The 12,128-nt window shown below is 33.2% G+C and overlaps 1 annotated feature.

The window, feature by feature from the left end:
- Positions 5,944 to 7,102: an enhancer, noted in NCBI's record as "VISTA enhancer hs882". NCBI's record gives its function as "enhancer in: neural tube[8/8] | hindbrain (rhombencephalon)[8/8] | midbrain (mesencephalon)[8/8] | dorsal root ganglion[8/8] | trigeminal V (ganglion, cranial)[8/8]" and the evidence as "EXISTENCE:transgenic organism evidence [ECO:0001131][PMID:17130149]".

The following is a 12,128-nucleotide window of genomic DNA, read 5'->3' on the forward strand; positions in this document are numbered from 1 at the left end:
CATAGTTGCTGAGAGTAAGATTTAAAAAAATGGAATATATCCCAAAAAATGCAAACTCAGCAAAAGCAAAGCATTTTATAATTTATTTATTTATTTATTTATTTATTTATTGAGATGGAGTCTCCCTCTGTCACCCAGGCTGGAGTGCAATGGCACGATCTCGGCTCACTGTAACCGCCACCTCTCGGGTTCAAGCGATTTTCCTGCCTCAGCCTCCCGAGTAGCTGGGATTACAGGCGTCCGCCACGAAGCAGGGCTAATTTTTGTATTTTTAGTAGAGACGCGGTTTCGCCATGTTGGCAAAGCTGGACTAGAACTCCTGACCTCAGGTGATCCACCCGCCTCGGCCTCCTCAAGTGCTGGGATTACAGGCGTGAGCCAAGGCGTCTGGCTGCAAAGCATTTTTAAAACTATAAAACATACTACCTCATACTAGGTATCCTTTTAACTTTCTTTCCTCTTTTACATGAAAAAATCGGGCAACCCAAGAAAAACTATAAACGCTCAGAAACTTCACTCTTATTATAAGTATAAGGGCTCATGAACTCTATGCAAACATTTTATGAACAATTTTAAACATACAAGGGGAAATAGTAGTTATATAGTTTGTTGATACTTACGTCTTCCAAATTCAAGCTGAGCAAACTGCCAACAAGACACAGGTGCATAAAAGATGAGCAGGTGAAAGAAATAAAATGTTGTTAGGGAGAAAATGTTATCTTTGTCCATTACGCATTTATCTTAGGACACATTAGCACATCTGCTATATATTACTAGAGATACAGGTTTATGTAAATAAGTTTTATTAAGTTATAATTCCAAGTTTACTTTTCTATTTTCCCAGATCTATGGATTTGGCCCTGGTGTTACAAGGTCTGGGTTATGGCTTAATAAATACATTCCAATTAACTTCATTTAAATTTTACTAGGGATCAGATTCAACTATGACATTAAAGATTTTTGGCCAGGCGCGGTGCCTCATGCCTGTAATCCCAGCACTTTGGGCGGCCGAGGAGGGCGGATCACGAGGTCAGGAGATCGAGACTATCCTGGCTAACACGGTGAAACCCTGTCTCTACTAAAAATACAAAAAATTAGCCGGGCGTGGTGGCGGGCGCCTGTAGTCCCAGCTACTTAGGAGGCTGAGGCAGGAGAATGGCGTGAAGCCGGGAGGCGGAGCTTGCAGTGAGCCGAGATCGCGCCACTTCACTCCAGCCTGGGCGACAGAGCGAGACTCCGTGGGAAAAAAAAAAAAAGATTTTTAACGTGGATATTTAGAATAGCACCCAATGTTAATTGTGTGGCTTAGATATAACGTTGTTGGGTTGCTATTGTAAATTTGGCATGAGTTTCCCCACTGGTCACCATGACTGACAGCTCTTCTAACTGATTCTTACAAACCAAAAGAAGGGATGTTATATGGACAAAGTGGACAAGTGGCAATTGAGTGCACAGAAAACGTTGAAAGCAATTAGCAATGAGGTCTAAATTTTAAAAGGCAAAACATAATTGTACTTATTTTTTAAAACAATTATTTAAGTCTTTACCCTCACATACCCAACAACTTTATTTTGAAAATGTATATTATATATGTAGCAGAATTGAAAGGTACTTGACTTAGGATCTAGAGGTAAAGACATGCATTAGAATCTGTCATCTCTGGGCTGCTTGAGCTTGAGGAAATCATTTAATTTCTCTATTTTGAGTTTTGAATTAGTTGCTTTCTAAAGACCACTCAAGCTATCAATTAAATAAAATAAATATACACACACAATTTTATATGTATGGTTTACATACGGTTTTAAGTAAAATTGTCTTTCTTCTTACTCTACGAAGGTGTTTACTGTAGAAAATTTGGTTATAACAGACATAAGCAAAATAAGTTTTAAGCACAATTGCATCATTTTAAATAATGATTGCATATTTATATCATATTTCTGCACCACACACATACATATGTGTTTTAAAAACATGATCATACTCTACTATTTTGACTTGCCTGTTTGAATTTTTAAATCATTTAAAACTTTCTATAATTTTGTAGAATATAATTTTTATAATGTCAGCTTATTCTTCCATGTAGATTTAACCAGTACTGACACCATATTAATTTAACCTGTTAATTATCTATTGATTATCATGAGGCAGATAGGTGGAAATAGTTTGCCCATCACACTTCTCAGTCTGCAATGTAACTCTTATCTCCAACCACAAGATTCCAGATGTTCTTGAGTTTAGCTACACTCTAAGACCCTTTCAGGAAAACAAAATAGAGGCTTAGCATTTATGTATTTTTCATTACCTTTCACTTAATACAAGAAGAGTGTGATCTCTCCTACTCCAGTAACTGAATAAGTTACTCTAACCATTGCTATATACCCATGGTTCTATTCTCCCAGTTATTAAATGCACATTTGAAGAGAGCAATTTTGTTCCATAGATTTGATATTCCAAGAACAATGCAGATTGTAATAATAATCATCATCTCAATAATTCATAAAATCAAAGTCCATGAATTTAACAAATAGAGTAAATTAGATCTTTTGGAAAATCTACCTATCCTGGGGATGGGGGGAAATTCAGGAGCCACCCCCATGTCCATATTATTGGACTTTGTATACATAGTCATGCTTGAATTAATACATTTGGGAAGACATATGGCCCAAGATAAATTAATCAAATGTTTTCCCAAGCAACTTGGTATTTAGAATACAGTGAAATTGAGTTACATCAAATGCAGTGCTTTGGAGCCTCCGACTTTTAAATTTTTTACTGAGACCACAGTAAGAAATATGTAACACAACAGACTTAGTATACAGAAATACATTCAGAAAAAAATTAATGTTTTACAAGTCAATAATTACCCTGGGAATTATAGCTTTGTAGTTTCTATTGCATACTATTATTTTAGGTGTTGCTCATAGTCCACTAAAGAGAATTCAGGAACCAATAATGGGACATGACCAACAATATTACTTTGGTAAAATCTTCATGAATTGTTGCCAGAACCCTGTTTATTTCTGGCTTCTTTGCTTCTCAAATCTCTCTTATTCAACTCTTCCTTTAATCTGTAAAATATTCTAGTGTATTTCCAATAAATGTCACCTTTAATTTATGACAATCATGTTCTGTTTAATTTATGACAGTCATGTTCTGCTTTTCCTGCTCACAAATTAGGTAATCTTAACTAATCTCAATTATTCTAAGACTCTGCTTAATTTTCCTAAAGTTCCTCTTTCTTTGGAATCTACCTAATGTATCTATAAGTCTGGAAATTCGGCTAATGTAAAGGGGGATAATAATATTTCCTCATTCTGAAGACTGACAGTTGCTGTATCACATTAGAAGTTATTAGGGGCACAGGAATGCTTGTATCCTTAGTTTCCACTTTGTTGCAGAGTTTCAGACTGAAAAAAGACACAGTTAGAAATTTATATATTTCATTCTATTAACAACTAGGTTTAAGATGTTAAGCTGACTCTGTACTCTGAGATATGGAAGTTTAAGGGTTAAACTTCATAGGGGAGCAAAATCTCTTTGGACCCAAGTGCTCTTGTTCATGCCAATATTATTTTATAAATTTGTTCATTTATTTTACAAATATGCATTAAATGTTCATGATTAGAAATCTGAAAATGTTATAAATATGGCATAAGACAACTTATGTAAATGTATACTAAAAATTAATTTTACCATTTGTATAGAAGTACATATGGACTGACTGAGGATGTACATACAAAAAGAATATTAGGGATTGAGGGAAGAAGTTGAGGAGATGGGAATTTAGGGCTTACTTTTCTGTTATACAATTATTGTTTTCTAAAACTGAAGGAAAAATAAACTTGTTTTAAATAACAATTCTGATTTATCTAATTGATCTTCTCTCCTAAAGGTTCAATCTGTCCCTTCAGATTTGGTCTTCAATTTAAGATGGATCAGTGAGAGTTAGTATCATGTTCTAAGATCATTCACATTAAGCAATTTTTCTTTAGCAACTTGTAGAATTCTTATCAAAAATCAATAGAGATTAGACTGGTCGTGATGTAACACCTGTAACCCCAGCACTTTGGGAAACCAAGGCAGGCAGATCACCTGAGGTCAGGAGTTCAAGACCAGCCTGGCCAACATGGTGAAACCCCATCTCTACTAAAAATACAAAAATTAGCCAGATGTGGTGGCGGGCATCTGTAATCCCAGCTACTCGAGAGGCTGAGACAGGGAGAATTGTTTGAACCTGAGAGGCAGAGGTTGTAGTGAGCAGAGATTATGCCACTGTACTCCAGCGTGGGAGACAGAAGGGGACTCAGTCTCAATAGTAACAATAATAATAATTAATAGAGCTTAGACTGTATCAACATGAAGTCAGACAGATCATGTGAGACCCCAAATCCTTATTGAATTTTCTCAATATTCCATCTTGTGCTCCATATGCAAAAGTTGTTGTCAGGGAAATAAAAACTTCTCTGTTTTGCTCAAGGGATAGAATCATAATTTCTGAGGCAATAAAATAGTTCATTAAAATAAGAATATTGTTTTTATGCAGGATAGTCACATGAAGTTGTATTCTACTAGCAATGGATATACACAACTGAATAAGGATAGTATCGAATTAAACTCATTTTGGGGCCATCTTAAGTACAATTTCTCATTTTGTGAGAAGTCATCCTCTAGATCGTCAAAAGCAAAACAGACTATAGACTAGAGTGCTACATATAGGTCAATCTGAAAAGGTGGAAGAGAAGTGAAAAGCAATTCTTGTGCTCTAGTCAGTAGTGTGTTTATCTTTGACAGCCATTACGTGTCAAAAATTACTGACCCTTACTTAATGATATCTCTATTGTTTTGGGAAGCCTAAGCAGTGGTAATAAATAGGCCCAATAGGTATCATGAATCCTACATCATCGATGATCATTCTTGCTTGCTTCACCACACAGGCACGTGTTCCCAATTTGCAGCAATTCTTTGCAGCTATTCCGGTGTCCATGCTTCTTGCTTTTTGTAACCCTACTATTTCTATAATCCCTATAATCTGCACTCATTCATAGGGGAGGAAAGAAGACACAGACGGGGCAAGGCCACTTTTTGAACGCCTCAGCCTAGAAATGCGCTATGCCACTCATTCTCACATTCTTTCTTCTAGAAATGGCCACACCTAACAGCAAGGGAGGAAGGAACACATAGTCTGGTATGTCCAGGATGAAGAGAACATAAATTTAAATAAACAGTTTGCAGTCTCCATCACATTATTCGGAGATTAAAAATATTTTTCTCAAGTAAAGATCTTTCTTAGAGATTAGCTTTGAAAATAAAGATGGTACAATATCCTAAATTTATTTGCTGCAAGATAATTTTACAATGTGGCCACATCTGATCAGGCTTAATAACCAAGAATTAAACATATGATTGTGAAACCTTTATCTAGGGCTTCCAATTTCATTTAGTGGGAATTGATAAGTCTTTACTACTCTTATTTGTTCAAAGAAGAAACCATTATATTATTAGTGTTCAATGTAACATATACCTATTCTTGGCTAAGGTAAAGAAAATACAAGTTATGTTTGCTATTAAGAAGACTAGAATGTATTGACTTATTACTGTTTAATATTACTGTTTAATTAAATGGTAAAATATTGCCACAATAAAGAGAAAAATTTGCCATATATCTATAATGCAAGAAGTATATATATATATATATATGTATATATACACATATATATATACATACATATATAGAGAGAGAGAAGGAGAGAGAGAGAGAGAGACCAATAGAGATGTTCAGAGGTGAAAATAATTTTGCATTTCATTTTTCAATATTTGAAATCTCTTTCCACTTCTTTTATAATGTGCTTCATATACCAAAATATATTTTGTAATTTATGAGTGGAACTTCCCTCGTCTAAATATCAGCTTAAGAACATTTTTTTCTCTAAAAAATATGTGATTGAAAAAAGAGAACTGCAAAGGATATTTCAAATAAAATGTTTAATTAAAAAAACCACAACAGATATTATGGACATTTAAAGTTTGAGGCTTCATGCTGTATTCCATTTGGTTCAGAGTATAGTTTTCATGATTTATTGACAGCTGCTTTAGATGGTTCTTTATTTTCAACTCATCCCAACCCTGGTCAAACAATACAGCCCTCCTGCTTTTTTCAATATTTTCCTAATATCTCAGCTCATTTAATTCTATTGATCCACTGAAGAGTATAATGGCACTGAAACTGGGATTAATAGCACCTCCCTTTTCCAGTGCTAAGAGCTTTCCTATTGAGTCTGTGGACCATCACATGAAATCACAAATGTAGACAAAAAAGTAGAGTGACCTTTACCGGCCACTATTGTACTGAAAAATTCAGTAAACCTTAGAACATCATTTTCAATTTTATGGCACTGTTTTCTTAAATAATAAGAGAAAAGGGGAAAAAGGAAAAACTGACCCCTGTTCAGCATTTACTTAAGCAGAATTGGCATTAATAGAGTATTCTGTCAAAAATTCAAGCTCAAGAAAATGTATGGCTTTGTCCACAGCAGCAGCTATCTTAGCAGATTGCACTGTCACTGCTTCACACAAAGCGCATTGCAACACCATTAGTGGACATAAATAATGCACAAGCTCTTATGCAGTACTCAGCTAAGTGCATGGAAACCTTGGGCTCCTGTTGTCAGAAATTCAATGGATTAGTACCTAGATTTATTTTAAGTCTGTAAAGCACTTTGTTCTTGACAGCGTTCAAAGTAGAAAGAGTGCTATCCTGAATGCGCATCTTAATACTGTCATTCCTGTCTTGTAAAGAGTAGATGATATATGGGCTGCAATATTTCGTTTTAATATTTAAAATTTTCACTGTGCGGATGCAAAGAAATATATTAATAGTTATCTGCTGTAACCTTATTGATCTGGAAAAGAACAAAGATAACCTGTAAAGTTTCACAGTGAAGCTAGTAAAATGGAGGCATTATAATTACGTTTTAGTAAAACAGATACACAAACTCTAATCTTTATACATCATCTTTGGAAAATATGGAAATTTGGACATCGCCTTTCTTTGTAAGTTAATACTGCGCATATGAAATCATATTTGATGGGAATTTTTAGCACATTTTAATCTAATTAGCAGTATTTACAATTCTGTAATTCCTTCAACTACATAAGAGTATTGTTTCTTTTTTGAAGGCTAAGTGATTTTACAGTTAACATTTTGCTGAGCAAGAACTATTCTAAAATGTTACTCCAAATTGCTTCCCTATAACTTCAGAGATTGGGGGCAGTTTCAGCCTGTAGATATGTTCAGGATTTAAGCCTGATAATCTTCCATGCATTGAAAGGATAAAAGACACTCTTGTGTAAGTTAAAAACAGTTTTCTATTGATATTGGAGATGTAGTAGAAGAATAGAGATATCTCATGTGAAGGTCAATCTTTCTCAATTCTATGAAGACATAAAATCTTATTTTAAAATAATAACAGTTACCTTTTCACTCAGCCTACATGGTCCATGAATTTCAACACAATTTGTTGAAATGTCACTCAATGAATTAACTATTCATTATCAAGCTCTAAGATTCTAAAGTGAAATATGTAACTAATGACTATTTATAATTACATATATTAAGACCATTTATTAGGCTACATGCATGATGTCATGTCAAATGGTTCATATTTGACCACATCTGACTCTTAAACTAAAATTTGTTTTTTAACACAAGTTTCTCAGGATTGTGAAGACTAATTTCATTCTAATTACAACTTTCATTATTGAGTTAAAAATATGCCTATGTTTCATAATTTCAGTAGAAAATTCATCAAACACACTGCTGAGAGGGTTGTGATTTGTTGCTTACAAAGATAACATAATAAGAAGGCCAGTAAATACTGTGTTTCAAGACGTATTTAATATACCCTTAAATGAAAGATCATATTCTGGAGAATGACTATGACTTAAGTAATTTTATATTAAGGAGTTAAGTTTTCAACTTAGTAAATTTTTTTGCTCCAAAGCAAAGCTCCAAAATTCTTTTGCTTTACACAGCTACTTCAAAAACCAGTACATAATTTGCATATTCGGATCAATAGGTGGCGCTTTTCCCCTTTCTGACAGTCTCGTTTTCAGAATCCTGTTAGAGTCAAACTTATTGTTACAAATCTTCAATATTACCGATAGAATGCCGAATATTCTAACTAGTAAAAGTTGATTTTTAACTTTTGCAAGCTTATAAGGTTTTAAATTATTGTCAGCTTTTAAAAACTATCCTTTGATACATCATCAAATTTCGTTACCAGTGATCATACTCAAAGAGAACTCTCAGTTATTTGTCCTGTAGCGATATTCAGAAATTATCACTCAGTTTCTTTAATCCTTAAATTATTCCCCACTTATCCTGGTAGAAAACTTCTGGAAAGTAGCATTTTGGAATACCTGATATAGGGTCCCTTCAAATACTGCTATCATGATAAACGTACTTTAAGATTTACAGGAAATTTATCAAAAATGAAACATAAATTTATATTATTGCAAAATGCTTTTAGAATACATATTTTAAAATAGTAAATGTAAGTAGAATATTTCATCAAAAGAAAACAGAATTTTGTATCTGGATTGCTTTTATGAGGATTTATTTATTTACACTGAGTCCTTTTAATTTAACTAAATCTGAGGATTACAAGCAATCAAAGATCTTTGTAAATGGTAGTTGATAATGTTGTAATTTGAAATATAGATGTATTTATAAAAATATTTTATTTAGAATAAATTTATCTAAATTTACACTAAAAAGACATGTCCATAAAATGTTTTCTTCTCACAAAAAGCAGGTAGTCACATTAAACATAGACTGTTTTTTAAGATAATGTACTATAGAAACATAGTCTTTGTTTTTGATTATTTAAAAGATGATTACAGCATGAATAGTGGTTTAAAATATAAGCAACATGATCACTTTCTAATTAAAATGACAGTTTGTATTTTAAAAATATATCTTTATTAAACACAAACATTTGACTACAATAAAGGCATTATTTTAAAGTATAACAAAATTAGGATGGCTATAGATCTTCACATTTTATATCTATTTTTATGTGTCTCATCTTGTTTCCCCCAGTTTCTTCACTACCTTTTCTTCCTCAGTTTGTTTAGGTATACACACACACACACCCACACACACACACATGCATATATATGCAAGCTGTTTGGGGAAAGGAATATATACATACATATTCTGATATGTATATATATATCAGAAACTCTTATGTTAGAAAATATTTTGTCAAGTGTATAACAAGTCAGAAAACTACAAAAAAGTTACACAAATTCTTTATTTGAAATAGGACGACATTTCTTACATCATAAAGCCAAATAAATACATTATATGAATTGTATGACACAATTGAAAGAGCTACATTTTTCAGAACATACAATGTTATTGCATTCTTCCAACCATAGCAAGAAAAATCAAATTTTACAACAAAAATGAGACTTATACAAGATTAGCTTAAATTTCCTCCTCCGAAGAAACATTATCATGTAAGTGACTGAACATTGTTGTGTATTTTGGTATCTTCTCAGTGGTATTGATTCCCTCCTAAGCATGACCGTTCCTGGAAACCTATGAGCAACTGTGAGTGAGGATCCAACCACTTCCCCTATCACTCACAATAATAGTGTTTGTTTGGTTACTCTAGAATTCCCTCACCTCTCTATGCTTCATCCCTTCTACTCCAAGGTAGACTTAAATAATATGAAGAAAGTTTATGTTTGCTTTCTTCTAGAAATTAAAGATTTTTTCCAGAAGAAATTATATTATGGAATTAATGATGCAAGAAGTTGCGTTGATATGAGGTACTACCTTTTAGGCATTTTAATTAAGCTTTCTATACTTTGAAGCTGTTTGGGGAGAGGAACATACTGCATTATTTTTTAATGCAAACCTTTGGGAGGTTCATGATACAGAGGCTAGACTTTAAAGAGCATTGCTCTTTATGTAATTCTGGGTTGTGCTTATATAGAGCTTGACATTATTAGACGACACTAAAAGATAAAATACAAATTCTATACCCTCCAAATTTAAAAGGATCACTGTAACTCTGATAAATGTCAAGTATCAATAGTAGTACGCTTAAACAGTCCTGAAGAGACAAAAACTGATATGATAGGCACAGCCCTGCATTATTGAGACAGCAATGATAAAGAACAACACTTAAGAGATTTTACTAACAGTTTAAGAGTTCTGGCACGGTATAGCCTGTGTATAATGAGGCTTCTAAACGTTCAGCTCACAGAACTAGCGTTTGTGGAGATAAAATACTTTACAAACTCTGTTTCATTAATCTTTACAATATCTCTGTGAAGAATTATGAACACCAATCAACAGATTACAGAGTGACAGCAGTAAAATATTGGATGAATTGCCAATCCTCTCAAAGAGAGCCCTGAAGATTCTCCTTACAATGAAGTTATTTGTTTTCCTTTTTAAAATACCAGTCCTCTAAGACCAAGTTAATATGTTAAACCCTACAAAGAACCAATATGTTTTGCTTTGTTGGGAAGAAAAAAAAAGTGACTTCTCGATAGAGAAGGCCTGAAATCACAACATTTTGAATTCAATAATAGGTTAAACCAATATTTCAATGCCAAATTACATGAATATACAAAAGCAAATCTTCTGAAAAATGTACTGTGTATTATGTGACTCTTTTCAAGGCCTAGTCTAGTGTCCATATTAATGCCAGATAAGAATTTCAATCTTGCAGTAAATTAGTCTAATCATATTATTAAATAACCCATTCAAGTGATTTTAACAGCACATTGTTTGCATTGTATTATTAACAGCCCTTCAAAGGGCAGACAACATCATCACCATCAATAAATAGCTATTGACCACTTACTGTGTATAGCTTGAATTTTTGAAAGATCATATTGTTTCCAATTTGTTAAGCTAATCTTTTATAGAATTTTTTCATGTTAACAAATGAAATTCATTTCATATCCATATGGCAAAAATTAGTCCAGGGCTTCTAAAAAATTTAGAAACCATTTTAACAATTGGATTTTATAATGTATTCAATGGTTTATGAAAACAATGAATATAGAAAGGAAATTATAGAAGCATTCAAGAGCTATGTAATAGCACCAATATCTGCTAAGTTGTAAAAGAGATATAAATTCTCCCATTTCTCCCCACCAATGTCCATACAATTAAAAGCATAAGTTATTCTGCTGTATGTATTGGTTCTGCCAATTCTGTCCATTTACCACTGCTGCATCCCCCGGCCCCTGTAAACAGCATCATTGTGTACAGTTTTACAGGTTTTAATTGTACAACTCTTTAGGAGACCATACACTTTGCAGTCTAGGAGAATGGCACCACCTAGAGGTGTGCAGTACACAAGCTGCACAATCAGACATACACACCAAGTCACCATCACCTCTCATCTGAACTACTCCAATAGTTTCTTATTTTACCTGCTTCCTCTGATCATTGTCTACTGATCCTTTAAAAATGTACAACGCACCATGATATTTTTCTATGTATAACCCTTCCATAGCTTTCCATTGCATTTCAAATACAATTAAAGTATCTTATCTTTTCAATAACTGTTTTTCTACTTAAAGTTCACTTTTTATGGTTAACCCTTTCATCCAAAATAACTCAAATGACACCTCATCAAAGAAGCCTTCTCCAACCACCCATTTTAAATGAGCAACTTTATTTCCTTCTATCCCTTTGTTCCATGTCTTGACAACTGATTAATTTTCTTTATGGCACTTCTTAAAATTGACAGCAAGTCTTATATTTGTTTACTTTTTTGTTATGAGTGAATGAATACAAAATTTAAACTTATGAATATTATTTTTTGTGCTTTACCAACATATATCATAATTTTATTTGGTTGATTGATAAGCTTTGTTTCCACTGAAGAAGATACTACATAATTGAATTATTATCATTATAAGGACTGGATGAATAAGAAAGAAAAAAAGAATGACCAGATGAAAACATGTAGTAATGTAATTGCCCTTTCAATATACCATGAAGCATTCATTGATTTTCTCAGGGCTTCAGTTTTCTTATCTGCAAAATGAGGAAGTTAGAGTACATATTCACTTTTTCCACTTCTGAAACTCAACGA

This window comes from Homo sapiens, chromosome 13, assembly GCF_000001405.40.
Source record: "Homo sapiens chromosome 13, GRCh38.p14 Primary Assembly".
Taxonomy (NCBI): domain Eukaryota; kingdom Metazoa; phylum Chordata; class Mammalia; order Primates; family Hominidae; genus Homo; species Homo sapiens.